The 21,200-nt window shown below is 35.5% G+C and overlaps 2 protein-coding genes across 3 annotated transcripts in view; both read left to right on the forward strand.

The window, feature by feature from the left end:
• Positions 1–21,200, forward strand: part of TLCD4 (TLC domain containing 4) — a 105,091-nt gene that overhangs the window by 47,608 nt on the left and 36,283 nt on the right. For both annotated transcript variants that reach the window (NM_001199679.2, NM_152487.3), the window contains exons 2-5: positions 3,767–3,932; positions 8,578–8,667; positions 10,084–10,142; positions 11,201–11,295. In NM_001199679.2, the coding sequence (NP_001186608.1) occupies positions 3,778–3,932; positions 8,578–8,667; positions 10,084–10,142; positions 11,201–11,295 (399 nt within the window). In that variant the 5' untranslated portion in view covers positions 3,767–3,777. The remainder of the gene's footprint in view (positions 1–3,766; positions 3,933–8,577; positions 8,668–10,083; positions 10,143–11,200; positions 11,296–21,200) is intronic.
• The window catches only part of TLCD4-RWDD3 (TLCD4-RWDD3 readthrough), a 127,033-nt gene that overhangs the window by 22,202 nt on the left and 83,631 nt on the right, over positions 1–21,200 (forward strand). The window contains 4 exon segments of the mRNA NM_001199691.1: positions 3,767–3,932; positions 8,578–8,667; positions 10,084–10,142; positions 11,201–11,295. Coding sequence (NP_001186620.1) covers positions 3,778–3,932; positions 8,578–8,667; positions 10,084–10,142; positions 11,201–11,295 — 399 coding nt within the window. The 5' untranslated portion in view covers positions 3,767–3,777.

Consider the following 21,200-nt stretch of genomic DNA (forward strand, 5'->3'; position numbering starts at 1 on the left):
AGGAATACACTGTAAAATCATGATAAAAAGTATAGTGTAGTAAATGCTTAAGCCAGTAACATAGTCATTTATTATCATTGTCAACTATTATGTACTGCACATAATTGTATGTGCTAGACTTTTATATGACCGTCAGTGCAGTAGGTTTATTTACACCAGCATCACCTCAAACACGTGAGTAATGTGTTGCGCTGCGGTGTTATGATGGCTACAGCGTCTCTAGGTGATAGGAATTTTCAGCTCCATTATAATCTTATGAGACCACCATTGTATATGTGGTCTGTCATTGACTGAAACATCGTTATGCAGTGCATGACTGTACTTCAGACCTTTTCATGTTTTTCCCTACTAAGAAATCAGTGTCAATTAAAGTTTATGTAAACCATCTTTAATGAAAAGTATAAACATTATTTCATTCAACAGGTCTCTGGAAAAGTTTCTTTGATGTCCACAATTCCTGTGAATCAAGATGGACTAATTATAATGTAGAGTTCATGTCTAGACGCTCTTGTAAATTGCTACAGAAGTATTTCCCTTATCTGTTTCAGCTGCTCTTCGCTAGGCCAAATAGTATCCCAGCTTTCTGCCAGCTACTAGCTACCTGTAGAGGTATATGAAGTAGGTGTGCTTTTCCAGTTTTACTGTATATTCCTATACTTAATAATCACCAAACTCTTGCAGGCCCTTAACATATGTTAGTAATGAGCATCCTTTGGTTTTATCACTTTTTACCATTTTTCTTGCCTGATTCATGCATTAAAGTGAATGAACAGGGGTAGCTGCTTCCTACCAGAAGCCTTGGTTTTCTGGGGAAATTTGTAAAGATCTCTAGATTAGTTCTTGATTTGGCATGACTGATTAAGCAAGCAGCTGTTCACTAAGAGGCAAAGCTGAGAGTAGAACAATTTAATTGGCTTCTATCTGTTGAGCTTTTAATGGAAGTCACAGCTTGAATATATGGAGCTCTTTATTTAGTTTTAAATGAAACATTTTTCCAAAGGGAGACTCTAAACATATATCCCAAAGTCTTACCTGATAATAATTCTGTTCAAAATATAATATTCATCCATTAGAACAAAGACTTAAAAACTCGATTTTTGGGCGAGGGTGGGATGATACATTTTTTAATGGTGAATTGTTTGAGTGCTTTTAAATACAGTAGTTAAATGAACAATTCATAAAATGGATAAGGTATGATATGTTTTATGACACCTTTTAACATTCATGAAATAAATGCTTTGTATACATTGAATTTTAACAAACTAAATGAGCAGCCCGTGCCCACCTTCTGCTCTAGGATCAGCAGAGAGCATACGAAAGTCTTCAGGGGAAACCTCCTCACATTTAAGATTAGATTCTCCATTCTCTTCTGATTACTGATTATATTTTTTTTCCAATTTTGTGTCCATCTGGCCTCCAGATACCTATTTGCTTTAATCTTAGAAAAGCATTATTCTCCTTACATCCCACTTAGCAAATTATGGTAATGCTTAATTTATGTACAAAACTTTTATGTATTGTTTGGTTAATATTAAACCTAGGCTAAAAGACCACAAATTAAAATTTTAATACCCAATAAACATATGTTGAATTAAAAAGAAGTAAAAGAGCAGTAAAGTTAATGGAGTCTCATAGAGAAGAATTGTAATATCAATATTTTTACCAAGTACACACACACACACACACACACACACACACACACACACACAAAGAATGAGGAAAGAATTCATTATAGACATATGAATTCTGATGGAAGGGGCCCTGTGGGAGATTGATTCTTATTACGATATCCTGGTTGGAAGGGAATGAAGTGGGGTTATTGCTAGTGCAGTCAATGACTTGGCTTTTCTCTGGTGAATTGATTTCAGTAGGTGACTTTATTTCTTTGCATTAGGCAGCTGGAAATGTGTATTGATTTATTTCTTTTTCATTTGAGAATCAGCTTTATCAAAGATGGAGCCATAGAAATGCTGTATTTGCTGGATATGAGCAAATGCCTTAGTGCCTTTTTTTTTTTTTTTTTGCTCTGAATGTTCCTAAGATTTTTAGGAGCCAAATAAAGTTCAGCTCAATGAAATAGAAAACACACTTTGAGTGTGCATATATGCATAGTACTATTCTTTCTGCTAACTCGATTGTTAAGACCTGAAGCTCTTTTATAAAAATCTTTTTTTTTTTTTTTTTTTTTAATAAGGGATACAAAGCCCTGCAGGCCTTTTGCTCCAAGAATGTGTGTGATTGAAGAGCATGTTTTAAAAGTTAAATTCTCATTTGTGCAGTGACGGTGTTAGCGGTGGAGGGTGTTCAGGTTCTTGGCATTTTGAACAAAGAATTAGACAAAATGCACAAAGCAAGGAAGGAATGAAGCAATGAAAGTAGCGATTTATTAAAAATGAAAGTACACTCCACAGGGTGGGAGTTGGTCCTACCATAGGGGCTCAAGAGCCCGGTTACAGAATTTTCTAGGGCTTAAATACCTGCTACAGGTTTCCCATTGGCCACTTGTTGTACACCCCATGCAAATGAAGTAGTGGCCCACAATCTAGGCCGGTTGTGGTGCCTCACGCCTGTAATCCCAGCACTTTAGGAGGCTGAGGTGGGCAGATCACGAGGTCAGGAGTTCAAGACCAGTCTGGCCAACATGGTGAAACCCCGTCTCTACTAAAAATACAAAAATTAACCGAGTGTGGTGGTGCGTGCCTGTAATCCCAGCCGCTCGCGATGATGAGGCAGCAGAATTGCTTGAATCCGGGAGGCGGAGGTTGCAGTGAGCTGAGATCTATCGCACCACTGCACTCTAGCCTGGGGGACACAGCAAGACTCCATCTGGAGGCGGGGTTGGGGGCGTGGCGGAGGGGAGGGGAAGTTACACTTCTGTGCAAAGGAAGACTTGGCTGGCAGTCAGTCAGATTGGTTGGGGAAAGCAACCAATCAGAGGCTGAAATGAAGTTATAAAGTTATACTCCTATGTAAACGTCTGATTGGTTGCGGAAAGCAACCAATCAGAGGTACTTTCAGTTTTCCATTTGCCACTCAGAAAAGTGAGGGAGGGGTTTTCAAAGCGAGTAACCTCCAGTTATTTTGTTAGTTAGGTGTGTAAAGTTGGGCTTTTCTGTTTGATTTAGTTCTAGGAAGTCAGTATGAATCGGCCTTAGGTTCCCTGCCTCCAGACCCTATTGTCTTGCCTCAACAGTGCAATGGCTCTTTGCTAAGACTGTGTTCTTCTTAAGATTTTAATTTTGTTTTAAATGTTGTTTGTCCTGCTCCAAAATTAGTTTTTTAATTATGGAATTATTTTTTGTTTTGTTATTACAGGCAGTGTTAGTTCTATGGTTTTTGGCTTGATTGTTTCTTAGAAATTATGTAACCAACTCTTTCATATCATAGATGAGAAATTGAGGGATAAAGAAATCGATTTGTCATAAATTTAATTGAAATATTATTAGAAGAATAGTTTTTACTTATAGTACTTGAAATTCTCTGTTAATATTAAGACTTAGATAATTTTGAATATCATGATGTTAAAATTATAAATGACACCTCTAATATTGAGATCTTTAAGATAAAACAGACATAAGATACATGACAAATAGATGGTAAAGGTGAAGAAATATACAAAAGGTCAAAAATTCTTATAGTTTATATTCTTAACATTTGTTCTAAATTTTAAAAATTACTAAAATTACAAGACATATTTCTTAAAATAAAAAAATTACTCTAGGTTTATTATGAGACAACAATTTATAGCTGTCATTTATCTTAACAGGTTGAAGAAATATGGAGATCAACACAAAACTGCTCATCAGTGTTACCTGTATCAGCTTTTTCACCTTTCAGCTTCTTTTCTACTTTGTAAGTTACTGGTTTTCAGCAAAAGTTTCTCCAGGTTTCAATAGTCTCAGCTTCAAAAAGAAGATTGAATGGAACTCAAGGTAAAGCATATGAAAATGTAATTGATGACAAGAAACTAGTTTATGAGATAAAATTATTTAAAATATTTCAAAAAAGTATTTCATTTAGGATCTAATGTAAGGCCAAATTTTTATTTGATCTTAGAAATAAAAGGAAAAACAAGTAGATGATCTCATGCAAAAAAAAGTTTAAGAATTCATATATTGAAAGATGTTAGGAGAAATTTACTTAAGTTTCTGAGGAAGTGTGTGAAGATGAAGTAGACTCCAGCTGACTGTGGATGAATACTAGTACTTTCGTGTTCTTCTTTGAAATATTTATAACAAACATATTCTTTGGAAACAAAGATGGAAGAAAAAATTAGTTGTACTTTTGAGTAGCTTATACCATACAGCATTGGCCAACTTAGCCAGACCTGGGGCAGTTAGACTCTACACATCAGGGAACAAAGTGTACAGTCAGTGCATATGAATCTTTTAATGAACTTTGCATTATAATTTAGAGCCCTCCAGCATTTATTATTTTGTTATATAATTTTAAAGTAAAAATTTCTTTTTAGTTTTTTTTTTTTAAACAGAAAAGTAAATGGAGAAAGAATTAGACATCTATTGATATAGAAATCTGCTGGAGTTTTATTTTTTATTTTTATTTTATTTGTTTATTTATTTTTTTGAGACAGAGTCCCGTTCTGTCGCCCAGGCTGGAGTGCAGTGGTGAAATCTTGGCTCGCTGCAACCTCTGCCTCCCAGGTTCCAGTGATTCTCCTGCCTCAGCTTCCTGAGTAGCTGGGATTACAGGCATGCGCCACCATGCCAAGCTAATTTTTGTGTTTTTAGTAGAGACAGGGTTTCACTAGGTTGGCCAGGCTGGTCTTGAACTCCTGACCTCAGGTGATCCACCCACCTTGCCCTCCCAAAGTGCTGGGATTACAGGCATGAGCCACTGCACCCTGCCAGAGTTTTAAAAAGTTGGTTGCAATTTTTTTGTGTGTGTACAACTTATTAATCTCACAAGATTTCAAACACAAAATGGCTCTGATGACTTCTTCACGTGCTTTAGAGCATTTTATGTCCCCAAACATCACTGTGCATTTGTAAACCTCAGTGAGTCAGAGCAGCCGTGGCCTTATTTTTTGTTGTTGCTATTTAGTTGAAGTTAATACTAACCATAAAATGGATTCAGCAAGTCTCTAAAGTTTGCTATAATTATCTTTCATTGAAATTTCCTTTTAAAATTCAAGAAATTCTGTCAGTGTCTGAGTATTTATTTGAGAATGGTCATATTTGATTTGAAATTCCCTTTGAACCAAATTGTTTTGCAGGCATCTACTTTTATGATTCAGACTGTGAATTTAATAAGACTCTAGTTGTTTTTTTTTGTACTTTACAGTGATGTATCGGGTTCATACATGTCAAAGTTCTTTTCACCCAAAAAGCAAGAATTATTTCTCCACATATTTTCAAAAAATAAGCAGTATGATTATTTTGTCTTAAGACTAGCACAAAAATATTGTTCAAATGCATTATACTAGAGATACCATTACTTTAAAAAATCTTTTCTAACATATGAAGATAGATGGAATGGTAGGAAAGAGAAGGGGGTACATACGTTCTCTGATTAAATGTTGAACTATTTTCATTTCCTCTTTCCTGTGGTTAGGATAGGTAAAGGCATTTGAATGTTAGGTAGCTGCAAGTCAGAGAAATAGGAAAGGGTACAGAGAGATGGAAGCCAAGATGAAAATGAAATGAAATTGAAGAATATTTTGCATTATCTAGTCTTATCACTGCCATTCTATGACACAGGAAATACCATTTGGGAAACTGAATTTCTATTTGAAAAAGGAGTCTGGGATTATATAAAATTCATTTAGGTATTCAGTGGTGTTTTCTCTTTTTCTCAAGTTTGCTCCTGCTTCTCACTCCAGCTTTTTTTACAAAGGACTTAAGCTGTAAGGTGGAGAGTGCAAAGTAGGACAAGGAGGCTGTATTTTGAGTAAAATATGTATAAATGTCTTAAAATTCAGCTTCCAGTTTGAAACATACAGGTAAACACACATAATTCTTTCTAGTGATCAGGAAAGAGTCTCTAAACATGAGTTGAGAGTGGTCTGAGCCATCTAGTATAAAAAGAAATGGAGGAGAAAAAATCACTGGAAATGCCCATTTGAGAGACAACAGTTTAGTTAAAAGTGAGAAATTGTTGTACTGAATTGTTACTTTTTCTGAAAACGTGTATACTTACAGGTGCTACATCTTATAATGTAAAAAAATTTTCTTAATTACTTATATTCACTTTCTTACCTATCACATTGAAAGTCTTATTGTGTTGAAATACTACTAATTTTTAAATGTTTCTCTAAAATTTAGCTGAGTTATATAATTTCTGTTGGCAATATTTACACTACTTGTGATTAGTAACTTAAAATTGCTATTCTAAAATAGTCATTAATCATTTCCTTAGAGTGCTATCCCTTTATATGCACAAACATTTCTTTTCCACCCTCTTTGAAAAAAAATTGAAATATTTTATCTTGGGTAATATCTTGGAATTTCTTTTTAGATACTAAGGAATCTAAATTTTCCTTTGCTAGGAATCTGATTTTAAATAATAAAATATAAAATTTTTATTAACAGAAGTTTCTGAAACTATAGTATAGACTTTTAATACAGAATAGTGTATGAGTGAGGGCAGGGTATTTGTTTTTCCTCCTCATTACAGAGGGAGATATTTGATTGGACCAAGTAATATTTAACTTTTCTGTACTGAATCATACACCATTTCCATCAGCTGAGGGCTTAGAATGCTTTCCATTTACCACATAACATCTCAAAAGAGAAGTGAATCTGAGGCCTGAGTGTCAGAAATAAAAAGTTAGGTTTTTCAAAAGGGAGCTTTCTGACTATGGTTACCAAACAGTAAAACAAGTTTGTAAGAGAGATTATATATTTTTAAATTTTATATAATTTTTGAATAGCAATAGAGAGTGGGCTGTATGACCATTTAAATGGAGTATTTTATTTTATATCAAGGAATTTAATTTTTTTTTTTTTTTGAGACAGAGTGTCGCTCTGTTGCCCAGGCTGGAGTACAGTGGTGCAATCTCCACTCACTGAAACCTTTGCCTCCCAGGTTCAAGTGATTCTTGTGCCTCAGCCTCCCGAGTAGCTGGGATTACAGGTGTGTACCACCATACCCAGCTAATTTTTGTATTTTTGGTAGAGATGGAATTTCACCATGTTGACCAGGCTGGTCTCAAACTCCTGACCTCAGGTGACCCGCCCACCTTGGCCTCCCAAAGTGCTGGGATTACAGGTGTGAGCCACCATGCCCGGCCAAGGAATTTACATTTTTATCCTGTGCTCAAGGTGTGCTTGGCATGAAAATTATAGACTTGTAAACCAGATAAATTGGATTAATTATTCACATTTCAAAATGATTCTTAGGTATTATAAATGATACTTGGTCAATGCCTTTAAATTGGTGAGAATCTTTGCTTATTTAAAATATGGCTTGATTTAGCATGATACATCTATTTTGTAACACACTATTAGGTCAAGTATATTGGTTTCTAAAGTTACAATGAAATTTTCTGATACCAAACCTAATATTAGTTGATATATTTTACTTTTAAAGATTTGGGATCATATTGTAGAGAAAAATTTATTGCACACCAGTAATTTTTAGAGAGAAAACTTTGCTGTACCTCTCATTTTTTATCCTAATGAAGTTTCATTACTTGTGAACTTCTCAATAAAGATGTGAGAAATCTGAAATTGTTGGGTAAAAAAACTTTATTGTATGGATGAATACACAGTATCCTAAGTATAGTTCTCTAAGTAACATAGAGCTTGGGAATTAGTCACATCATTAAATTTATTAACAAGATATATTCATAGAAACTTATGGTTTTTATGTTAAACTTATTCCTTCTATACAAGAAAACTTGACCTGGATCTTGAGAACATTGTGCTTTCACTTGGGTATTTCTTTTAAAAACAAATTTTCCGTATACATTTATGGTCCTCAATTTTTCTATTTAGAAATGTTTTCATAATAATGATAAAGAGGGACTAATAATAGCTACCCTTGTTTTCTTACAAATTTGTTACAAGAATCAAGTGCAATAGTGCATGTCAACGTACTTTAAAAACTGAAGCCTCCCAAGATAATAAATCTTCATATCATGATCCATTCGAATTGTTTTAAGGATATGGAGTTTGTTAAAGCCAGTAGATCTGGAAGTCATTCCCAGCTGATTGGAGCAGGAAACTTATCCTGCATTGATGCTGTTGGGGCTGGAGCTTGGAGCCAAGGGTAGTGGCCTTGCCAGTTGCCATCTGGCTGCACAAAAGTCTGTCAGCTGCATCATCATGTATGCATTTATCTGTCTTAGAACTTTTAACCAATAAGTGATTCACCAGTTCTCTAGCAGGAAATTGTAGGCCTTGGTATCTTCCTCCTTCTTTATTCCAAAGTAAAGCTGTGGCCTTTGGATTTCTAAATGGCAAGAAATGGCAATTTTGCATTATACTCTCCGTTATACTTCACACCTGTATATAAATGCTTCCAGGTATAACTTGTTCAGAATGTTCTGTGTCTTGTCAGGATTAAATTTTATTGCAAAGAATCTAAAATCTTTGTGTGTATTTTGTTTAATTTCAGGGTAGTATCCACATGCCATTCTTTGGTGGTTGGTATTTTTGGCCTGTACATTTTCTTATTCGATGAGGCTACTAAAGCTGATCCACTTTGGTAAGCTGTTTCTTTTTCTAAGATTGCCAATTTCATTTATGTTTTGATATTAATTATTTATAAGAACATCACTTACTTTAAAACAGAAAACATATTGATCGTATATGCCTTATTAAAATGCTTGTGCTCAGACATTCTAGCAAAGTGCATTTAAATGATTTATTTTAGATTTGAACACAAATGAAGGCCATTTTGCCTTAGTGTAGCAATTGTTATCCAAAACAAGGAGAATATGATGATAATTTAAACATTTTTACTGTGTTAATGAGTAAAGCCAAGTTATTGTAGTCACAGTTCTGAAGAAAAATAAATCATTATTGAGATAGGGTAGTCAACTTGGATAATATCTACTTAAGACTTTTTTGTCTCCAATTTATGTTTGACTCATTTGATATCAAAGAGATGAAATGAGAGTTACAGATGGCCATGTGATAGGAATTTAGTACCACAGGATTTGAAGCACTAATGCACTAATAATAACTGTGTTCAGTAGTAATAGGATAACATGTAAGATGGTCCTTTTAGAAAAATTTAAATGTCATTCCAATGGCAGAAATTTTGCAAACTGTTTCCTGGTGTTATATGAGAAGGCTTAGTTCAGCTTAGTTTGAGAGAGCAGGCATGTTTGAAGAAGCACTGCACTGAGATGAGGTAGTTGTGGGCTCCGGGGGATGTAGGGCAATTTAGCCTTTTCTTTTGACCACCACCATTTGACTGCAAGGACGTTTTTCTATTCATAAATATAAAATTATTCCCAGAAGAATAATATCAGTATTGATACATTTTCATTGGGATGCTGTTTTTCAAAGAGAATTAATTTATTGAATTTAATTCCATGACTAGGTTTTTAAATAGTCTACCTACAAAATTTCTAGCTTTTTAAAAATTTTCGTTTTCATTTTACTAACGTGACCATCAGCAAAATAAAACCAGTTCTTTTGGGAAGTAAATTTCATAACAAAGATTTGATTCATTGTTCAAGTTTTGCCTTATCGAACTTTAACATAATTTTTGATTTGAATTTTATGTCATGATTTACTCCAGGTCAAATTTTCCTGGTTATATTTACAGATCAAAATTTGTAAAGAAGGCACAACTTGTGCTAAATCTTTCTATTAAATATTTGTAGTCCAGCTATTTTAGTTAGTGTTACTTTCACTAGTAGTTCACTTTGTAACTATCTTACTATGTAAGATAACAGCAGTAGTTACCTTACTGCTAACACCAGTACCACATGATGCGTCACAGTTTGGCTAAACTGTCATTGTGTGTTTTGCAATTTTATTTGAAGATGACAGCTTACCATTTGAGAATCTATAGAAAGCAATTTTATTATATTTAAATCTCTATAGAAAAAAGAAGTAGCGGTCATCTACAATCTATATACTTTAAAAAGGAACCTTTTTTTTTTTTCAGGGGTGGTCCATCACTTGCAAACGTGAATATTGCTATTGCCTCAGGCTACCTCATTTCTGGTATGTGAGATGTTGTTTTATTGTCTAATTCCTTGTAAACTACTCACGGAATTATACAAAGAATATATAGTCTATGCTTTTGGTTTATTTGAGAGATAGCATTTAGGAAGCATACAGAGGAAAAAAATACCTCCCATGATGGTAGAACATGAAATGTCTTTTCATGAAATGGTTTTCTGTTTCTCACTGAAGATCAGAGTTACAGAGTGATGCCTCAAACAACTGAGGCCTGGACATTTTTTATCAGCAAGGATATGGTCCCTCTTTGTCCTAATGAGGCTCTTAAGTGTAATGACTGTGAAACTAACGAAATTTAACTTTTAGGGTCCCTCACTTGCAAGAGTTCTTGAAATGTGTTCCAGTAGTCATGGTTTTGTGTTGTTTTTGTAAAATTTGCAGAAGTAAGCTTTTTTCTTTGTTTTTCTTTTTAATAGTTATAGTTTTTGGTGGCGTCACTATTTTGAATTAGTATTTAATTGCATTCTTTTTTATTTTTAAAATATTTTTTGTACGATTTGTTTTATAAATGAGTTGGTCATTTTGTACCTTCCCTATGACCATCTTATCTCTGTTTGAATTATTGTAGTGACAAAAATCAGTCACTTAAGCTTATTTAAAATTATTTCTATTCAATAATATTTTTTGTTTATTTTAACTCTGGAAACAAGTTATTCATTTATGCTTTCAACAAATATTATATTACATATGATTAGGTTGGTACAAAAGTAATTGCAGTTTTTGTGATTAAAAATAATGGCAAAAATCACAGTTACTTTTGCACCAACCTACATGCCAGGCCTTGTGCTAGATTCTGAGGGTTTAAAGATGCTCACAACCTGGCCCTTGTCTTAGAGGAGCCACAGGAGTGTGGATGAGACAGGCATATAGGAGCAGAGATTTTATGGTAAAGTAGATAATCAGACTAACTGAGGGATGAACAAAGTGCTGTGGGCTCAGAGTGGACAGTGATGAGTTGGCAGGAGAAAGAGTTCAATACATTTGAAAAACAGTGCAACTTTCTTCTTATGTAATACCTTACTCACTTTTCTTTCTTACAGATTTGTCCATTATAATTTTGTATTGGAAAGTGATTGGTGACAAATTTTTTATAATGCATCATTGTGCGTCCCTGTATGCATACTACCTTGTACTGGTGAGTTCCAGGATTTTCTGTAGCCTAACTAGCAGACAAGATTGGGAATAGTGATGTAAAGGTGAACATAAATCTAAACATACAATTCTTAGTTTTTAAAGACCATCTCCAGATGCATTCAGGGATTGCTTTTGTGGTATGCTATCTTCTGTATTAACTAAAATAATACCTTTATGTGTGTCTGTGTTGGTGTTGGTGTGTCTGTTTGTATTCATAGATTTTGAGACAGACAAATGACCCTAATTCTTTGAATTTCCATTTAAAACCTTCAGGATTGTTGTAGCTATAGATATTTGTCTGTATTTCTAGATGCATTTATGATTTAACAGCAAAGAGTATGAGCCAGCGAAAATATTTCTTTTCTGTTTAATTCCATGTGCAATTACATATACATAATTACATTTAAGTAGGTTGGAGCAGTGGAGAAATCTTGCTCAGACTTTTTCAGAATTCCAAGACCAAGGTTAATAGAGGATTCTTCCAACAGATCTCAGGCAGTAAAGCATATTAAATTATATATCTAAAATTTCTACATATACATATGTAAACTAGCAACTTTATATTCCTTGTATGTTTGTTAGGTTTCTCTAGAATCAATTGTTTTTCAACATAAATATACCAACAAGCTCAAGGTAGATATTGCAACTGCAATTTTTTTCATAAAGATGGTTGCTTTTTTGATATGTCTATGTTCTGTTGTTATAGTTTAAAATTTGTCTTTTAAAGTGAATCTATTCATAGGGAAACAAAATAGGAAAAGTTAGATGAAATGATGAATGTTAACAGATGCTATAAGGATCCTATGTTATTTACCAATCTTACAGTAGTTACTCATTGACTATAAGAAGGTTTTTTTCTATGCAGTGAATTCCCAGGTCATTTTGTGCATTTTGTTATTCCAAGTAAAGCTAACAAAAATAATAATAATTATAATTTTGGGGGGGTAAATGATCATGAAATTCTTATCACTTATGCAATAATGAGAACTTGTATTTGGAAAGCACTTTGACTTAATACTTATGTAACCATTTAAGCTGTTTGCAGTAAGCTTTTTTTCTTAAATGATTTTGTTATTAGAACCAAAGTAAAACTTAAAGTGATGAATAGAAGCAAGTTCCCTGCAGTTTTAAAATGTATCCTTACTGAAGAAATAGTTGAAAAGTAAGATTCTTTGGAATTTAAGGTATTATAGGTTATATAATGTCTTGATTGCTATTTTTGTATCTTTCTACTATATTTACTGACGTTTTGAAATTCTCTGGCAAAGTAATTTAGAGCTTAATGAATCCTCTTCTGTCTATATAGAGAGGTACAAATCCTACAGCCTTTTTTCCTGATACTCATCTTTCACCCCTGGAGCAGGATACTAATTATCAAATAAACCTGACAAGCTGATCTCTTATTCTAAGAGAAATGAACACATTTATGCTTTAATCCTCAATTTTTAAGGACAAACTACCATCCTTTGTACACCCTTTCTGACTACATTGATAGCCTTCACTTTTTGTGTATGTGTTCCTTGTGAATCACTTCTTTCTCCAATTAAACCATGCCTTTAGATAATGAGTTAGAATATATTTGGAAAACATTTAAACTTGAAAATCATTCAATATGCATCAATTTCCAAGCCCACCATATTATTATTATTTATTTTCTTTTTTTTTTGAGATGGAGTCTTGCTCTGTCACCAGGCTGGAGTGCAGTGGTGTGATCCTGGCTGGGCAGAAGGGATAATGGGGAATTACTGTTTAATGGTACAGAGTTTCCATTTGGGAATATGGAAAGTTCTGGAGATGGATGGTGGTGATGGTTGTATAACAAAATGAATGTACTTAATGCCACTGAATTGTACACTTAAAAGTTGTCAAAAGGGTAAATTTTATGTCATATATATTTTGCCATAATAAAAATGTTAAAGCAAGCTTATGAGATAACTGAAACAAAGTTAGGAAGGAGAACTAATAACATATTGGACAATGTTATTACATTTTTAGAAAGGCTTCATCCTAACTATAAACTGAAACAAATGGGTGGAACTTAATAGTGATAAATGTTAAGTTTTGCATTTAGGTTCAACGATGCATAAGGATAAAGAATGACCTGGAGGTGGTAGATGATTGCATCTCAGTTATGCCAATTTATCACATCTGCTAAAACAGAAAGCTTTTTCAAATTTAGATTCTATTAGAGGAGGCCTGGTATCCAATTCACACGTAGTTTGCCCAGTCAGACCACATCCAAGACCATCATCATCTGAAGTCCCTAAACTTGCATGTATCTGGAAGAGAGCTGCTAGTTAACTGTAGAGAGGAGATATTAGATTAGGTAGCTATTGTCTTATAACAAACAATTGAAGGACCTGGAGATGTCAGCCTAGAAAAGCTAAGAACTATAAGGACATGATGGCCTTGAAATGTCCCTGGAAATGTGAAAGGACTACTAAGTGGAAGGGGGAGTAGACTTATTCTGGATTGATTCTGATGTTGGGACTAGGACCAATGGGGTGGTAAAGAGAGGTAGGGGAGACTTCTATTTTATGGAAGAAAGACATCCTCAGTGATTGGAAGATTATCACAATGGAAAGGCCTTTTAAAGTGGCTATTCTACCATAAGATAGCTTTAGTCAGATAGATATAAAAGTAGATACAATCAGCAGAAGCTTTAGGTAGGAGCTTGCACTAAATAATCTTTAAGGTTCTATTCTAATTCTGAGATTCTGTGATGCACCTGTTTTGTTGAAATGATTTGATTTAGTTCTGATGCAAGAGAACTAGACAATGGGGGAATTAACAATAAGCTAAGTTATGTCACCAAGTTCTTAAGTAACCCTAGGAGGAAGAGGTGAAAGCAGCTGGCCTGCCAATCCATTCACTTCCTTGGGGGACAGGAGGGGAGAAAAAGAAGGCACGTGGCCCAGTCTAATCTCCTTGTCAACAGGACTTAGGATAAATTGAGTACTGATGTTTGTTAGGAAGAAGAAACATTAACTCTGAAATGCCCTTAGCAGTGTGTCCCTGGGTAAGGATTACCTATAGTAAAGAGAACCCAGTATCTATAAGGCACAGCTCATTGGAGAAGGTCATGTAGGCACACAGCAAGGAAATAAATAACTGGGTTGCCAGTGGCCCTTGATGTCCCAGACCTCTCTCTGCTTCATTTGAATTATTTGATGGTCTCTATCTTTGTAACATTTAGTAGAGCTTAATGCTAGGTAGGAACACTGTTTCACATGAGTCTGATTTGGCAGTCCAGTCCTGTGTGTTAGCTCAAACCTTCATCTCTGTCTTATAAGCAAATAATCAAAAACCTTGAATGATTACAATTAAGCAAATAATTATTAAACATAGTAATAGATTTTGTTTCCAAACCTCAATTCTAGGTTGATGGTACCCTGAAACGGTTTCCATTAATAGGTAATAGACTGACCCAGAGTCTCAAGCACAATTGAAATGTGCTTGAGACTCTGGGTCAGTCTATTACCTGTTAAAAAATGCCCCATCATTGCCACTATAGAACACGGTCACGTTTTTACACAGGATTCCAATTTGGGATGCCCAGAACTTATTTCCTACCAACATATAGTCGTAGTGTAGTGTAGTGCAGTGCAGTGCAGTGTAGTGTAGTATAGTAGGGAAAGGGTGCCCATTTCTGTCCAGGCCTTTGGTGGTAGAACAGTCAGTATTTAGTACCATACTAGCAGTAGTAGGTGCATAATTTAGTTCTCTTTTCCCCCCCACCTTATAAACCTCTGGTCTTAGCCACTCTTAGCTGGTAGAAAAATTTCCCATAGTAAGAAAATCCAGACTTCCATAATCGCTTGCTAAAAGGAGAATTTTCTTTTAAGCTGCGGAAGGGATCAGAAAAATCCTGTTTTGTTTCCCCTCACAGTCATGCAGAGGCCATGGCAAATGTAGATTTTACTCTATGCAAAGCTCCTTAAAGGTAGATGACAGAGTAGAGACACCACACTAACCATAAATAACTTGTGAGTTTTGCCATAATTTACCAACAATAAAGTATCAGAATTTGTAATTATTTAAAAATATTATAGAAAGATTTAATCCTATCCCTTTAATAGCATCTATCTCATTTGTATTTTAGTAGGTTTTCTTGAATAGGAGAGAAAAGGATAAAGTAACAAGGAATTATGCATAACCTGAATCTTATCTAATGGCCACCTATGCTGATGGACGTATGTGTCACATGTGATGCTATCTGTCATTGGATTAAATGGGCCCAGAGTCATTGATATATTGACGGGTACAGGATCAGAAAATATAGACTCAAGATTACTGAAGCATAGTTCTGCACCCCAGTGTGACTCACAGAGGTTTTTTTTTTTTTTTTAAGATTTTTTTATTTTTCTTTTTTTCCTACTGGCAGGATCAACCAGGTATTACAGAGATTTTGAGCTAAGGAGGGTGGGGGATAGGGGATAACAATAGGATAGAATGAGTGGTTTCAATTAGGGATGTAAGATTTAAATATAAGATACTATTTAAAAATTAAAGTGTCATCCAGGGATCAATCAGTAATACTGTAGTAATTTAAGGAATGGAAAGATCATTGTGTTAATTTCTGTTAATTTTTCTTCTGAATATAGATGTTGGTAAAAAAAAAATTGAGTTTGTAGAAATACTGGGCTTAGTAAGTATAATGTTTTCTAGGTCTGATTCTCCAGAGATAACTACTGATAGTACTTGATGTATATTCTTGCAGTTTATATAAGTTTTACATAAATGTTCATATGTATATTTATGCCTTTTTGAATTTTCTAAGAGAGCTTTTGAGATAGATGGGATTTAAACCCAGCCTTCAAAAATATGCATATTTAGGTTGGAAAAAAAAGTAGGGAAGGCTTTCTAGGTCAGAAAACATTTTGAGGAAAGTCACTGAGGAGATGTCAGATCTTCATGGGTGATACTGAGGACTTGGGGTGTCAGGGTATGGGATTTGTGTAGACATGGGTGATGGTTGTACATATGGATGAGTAAGATAGGGCCAGCTGATAGGTGGAGTGAAAATTCAGACTCACCAGCCCTGCATTTTTGCTTTTCACGGAATGGTTGTAGGATCTTTGGCCAGAAAATAACTTGATACAATTGGCATGTTAGAAAAATAAAGCTGATGATGATATGCAGAAAAAAATCTGATTGGGGAAGAGGATATCTTTTAGGAGGTGCTTGAAGTAATATAGGTGACAGATTACAAAGAAGCTAATTTTGATGGTTATAGTGGTGGTTATATTAATGAGGAAGAAACAAATCTGACTCATTTTGCAGTGAGTAGAGCACAATATCTAATTTGGATTTCAGAGAAGGAAGGGAAAGAAAAGACCAAAATGATCCAGAGCACTAGAGGAAGACGACACCATGGAAGGAAATGGGAGAAGCAGTTTGGAGAGATACTGTGAGATGTTAAGAGGTTTTTGGAGATGCATGGCTATCCCAGGGGAAAGTGGCCCATATGCCATTAGAAATGAAGGTTTGTGTAAAGGGCAGTGCAGTCAGGGTCAGGGACCAGAAGAAGAATGATCAGGCAAAGGATAACTCGGAAGGTAGAAAGAGAACCATAAAAGAATGCATTTGGAAATCAGTGGTTTCCAAAAGCAATATTGGAAGCAATATTCCCTAAAAGCAATATTGTAAATAAAAAGCTGAGATAAATAATGTTTTAGCAGAGGCCATTTAAAAAAGCTGTTTTAGGTAATTCATTTTTATTTGAGGATTAGGAAACATTGACAAGCAAAAAGAAAAAATGATGCCCCAATCTCACAACCTATATAATTATATTATTTACTTACTTAACATTTACATTTAGGAATGTACTTTTTTCCTATATACATACGGGTTTATGCATATGTCAAAAACAGCATTTCTCATATAAATATATAATATGTATATTACAAAAATGTGATCAAAACTAAAATTTAAATTTTCATTTTACATATTGAAGTGGTTCTGGCAATCTTGGGTCAGAAAGCAAGGAACCTATCAAAGACTAATGGGACTGTGTCAGAAGGACACAAGATCCAATATGAAGGCTCTTCTGTTGGCTTAAAATGTGACATTTTGATCATCAATTAGAATAATGACTATGGTTGATTGAAATCCATTGACTCGTAAGTTCTTAATTATATTTTTAAAAAATGAAAGGAGAAAGCAAGCCAGTTGGGCAGTCTTGCTTGACGTCTCATGTGGGTGCTGTTAAATGGCAGTTGAGGCTGGAATTATCTAAAGGCTCATTGGTAGGAGTTCAGTGGGAGAGTATCTATATGTGGTCCTTCCGTGTAGCTTGGGCTTCTCACAGCCTCATAATTGTGTTCTGAACAACATTTCAAGAGTAATTGTTCCAAGAGACCCAGGAGGAAGCCGCAAGACTTCTTAGGACCTGGCTTCAGAAGACTTACTACATAGGTAATTCCAGTATATTCTATTTATCAAGTGAGTTGCTAAGGGCAGTTCAGATTTAAGAGGTAGGAAATAAGACCACCTCTTGATACGAGGAACATTTTGCACATACAGGGAGGGAAGGAATTGATGTGGCCCTGTTCAGACACTATCCGTATCTTGATTTGTCAATGTTGGGTAATAATGTTAGATAGTATTTTCTTGCTGTGGTGGACAAGAATTTAATGTTCATACCTCTATTTGCCTTCCCTTCTTCCTCCCAATGTAGTTAGGGAATGCTAGTTGTCACTCAGTTCCTTTTAAAACTTTAAGTATTCTTATTTCTGGTCCTATAGCACCCCTTGATACTTAATTTTTTCTTTTTTTTTTTTTTTTTGAGACAGAGTCTCATTCTGTTGCCCAGGCTGGAGTGCAGTGGCACTGTCAGGGCTCACTGCAGCCTTGACCTCCCAGGGCCAAGCGATCTGCCTGCCTCAGCCTCCTGAGTAGCTGAGACATTCGCCACTTTACCTGGCTAATTTTTAAAAATTTTCTATAGAGATGGGGTCAGCCTATGTTGCCCAGGCTGGTCTCAAACTGCTGGGCTCAAGTGATCCTCCTGCCTCAGCCTCCCAAAGTGCTAGGATTACAGGCATGATTCACCATCCCTGGCCTCTTGATACTTCATTTATTTATTTATTTATTTATTTTTTATTATACTTTAAGTTCTAGGGTACATGTGCACAACATGCAGGTTTGTTACATATGTATACATGTGTCATGTTGGTGTGCTGCACCCATTAACTCGTCATTTACATTAGGTATATCTCCTAATGCTGTCCGTCCCCCCTCCCCCCACCCCATGACAGGCCCCGGTGTGTGCTGTTCCCCATCCTGTGTCCAAGTGTTCTTATCGGTCACTTCTCACCTATGAGTGAGAACATGCAGTGTTTGGTTTTCTGTCCTTGCGATAGTTTGCTCAGAATGATGGTTTCCAGCTTCATCCATGTCCCTACAGAGGACATGAACTCATTCTTTTTTATGGTGCATAGTATTCCATGGTGTATATGTGCCACATTTTCTTAATCCAGTCTATCATTGACGGACATTTGGGTTGGTTCCAAGTCTTTGCTATTGTGAATAGTGCCACAGTAAACATACGTGTGCGTGTGTCTTTATAGCAGCATGAATTATAATCCTTTGGGTTTTGACCCAGTAATGGGATGGCTGGGTCAAATGGTATTTCTACTTCTAGATCCTTGAGGAATTGCCACACTGTCTTCCACAATGGTTGAACTAGTTTACACTCCCACCAATGGTGTAAAAGTGTACCTATTTCTCCACATCCTCTCCAGCACCTGTTGTTTCCTGACTTTTTAATGATCGCCATTCTAACTGGTGTGAGATGGTATCTCATTGTAGTTTTGATTTGCATTTCTCTGATGGCCAGTGATGATGAGCATTTTTTCACGTGTCTGTTGGCTGCATAGATGTCTTCTTTTGAGAAGTATCTGTTCATATCCTTTGGCCACTTTTTGATTGGGTTGTTTGATTTTTTCTTGTAAATTTGTTTAAGTTCTTTGTAGATTCTGGATATTAGCCCTTTGTCAGATGGGTAGATTGCAAAAATTTTCTCTCATTCTGTAGGTTGCATGTTCACTGATGGAGTTTCTTTTGCTGTGCAGAAGCTCTTTAGTTTAATTAGATCGCATTTGTCACTTTTGGCTTTTGTTGCCATTGCTTTTGGTGTTTTAGTCATGAAGTCTTTGCCCATGCCTATGTCCTGAATGGTATTGCCTAGGTTTTCTTCTAGAGTTTTTATGGTTTTAGGTCTAACATTTAAGTCTTTAATCCATCTTGAATTAATTTTTGTTTAAGGTGTAAGGAAGGGATGCAGTTTCAGCTTTCTACATGTGGCTAGCCAGTTTTCCCAGCACCATTTATTAAATAGGGAATCCTTTCCCCATTTCTTGTTTTTGTCAGGTTTCTCAAAGATCAGATGGTTGTAGATGTGTGGTATTATTACTGAGGCCCCTGCTCTGTTCCATTGGTCAACATCTCTGTTTTGGTACCAGTACCATGCTGTTTTGGTTACTGTAGCCTTGTAGTATAGTTTGAAGTCAGGTAGCATGATGCCTCCAGCATTGTTCTTTTGGCTTAGGATTGTCTTGGCAATGCGGGCTCTTTTTTCATTCCATATGAACTTTAAAGTAGTTTTTTCCAATTCTGTGAAGAAAGTCATTGGTAGCTTGATGGGGATGGCATTGAATCTATAAATTACCTTGGGCAGCATGGCCATTTTCACGATATTGATTCTTCCTACACATGAGCATGGAATGCTCTTCCATTTGTTTGTGTCCTCTTTTATTTCCTTGAGCAGTGGTTTGTAGTTCTCCTTGAAGAGGTCCTTCACATCCCTTGTAAGTTGGATTCCTAGGTATTTTATTATCTTTGTAGCAATAGTGAATGTGAGTTCACTCATGATTTGGTTCTCTGTTTGTCTGTTATTGGTGTATAGGAATGCTTGCGATTTTTGCACATTGATTTTGTATCCTGAGACTTTGCTGAAGTTGCTTATCAGCTTAAGGAGATTTTGGGCTGAGACGATGGGGTTTTCTAAATATACAGTCATGTTATCTGCAAACAGGGACAGTTTGACTTCTTCTTTTCCTAATTGAATACGCTTTATTTCTTTCTCCTGCCTGATTGCCCTGGCCAGAACTTCCAATACTATGTTGAATAGGAGTGGTGAGAGAGGGCATCCCTGTCTTGTGCCAGTTTTCAAAGGGAATGCTTCCAGTTTTTGCCCATTCGGTATGACATTGGCTGTGGGTTTGTCACAGTTTTTATTATTTTGAGATACATCCCATCAATACCTAGTTTATTGAGAGTTTTTCGCATGAAGGCTGTTGAATTTTGTCGAAGGCCTTTTCTGCATCTATTGAGATAATCATGTGGTTTTCGTCTTTGGTTCTGTTTATATGATGGATTATGTTTATTGGTTTACGTATGTTGAACCAGCCTTGTATCCCACTGATGAAGCCAACTTGATCATGGTGGATAAGCTTCTTGATGTGCTGCTGGATTTGGTTTGCCAGTATTTTATTGAGGATTTTTGCATCAATGTTCATGAAGGATATTGGTCTAAAATTCTCTTTTTTTTGTTGTGTCTCTGCCAGGCTTTGGTATCAGGATGATGCTGGCCTCATAAAATAAGTTAGAGAGGATTCCCTCTTTTTCTGTTGATTGGAATAGTTTCAGAAGGAATGGTACCAGCTCCTCTTTGTACCTCTGGTAGAATTCGGCTGTGGATCCGTCTGCTCCTGGACTTTTTTTGATTGGTAGGCTATTAATTATTGCCTCAATTTCAGAGCCTGTTATTGGTCTATTCAGGGATTCAACTTCTTCCTGGTTTAGTCTTGGGAGGGTGTATGTGTCCAGGAATTTATCCATTTCTTCTAGATTTTCTAGTTTATTTGCGTAGAGGTGTTTATAGGATTCTCTGATGGTAGTTTG

The sequence above is a fragment of the Homo sapiens genome, chromosome 1 (assembly GCF_000001405.40).
Source record: "Homo sapiens chromosome 1, GRCh38.p14 Primary Assembly".
NCBI lineage: Eukaryota > Metazoa > Chordata > Mammalia > Primates > Hominidae > Homo > Homo sapiens.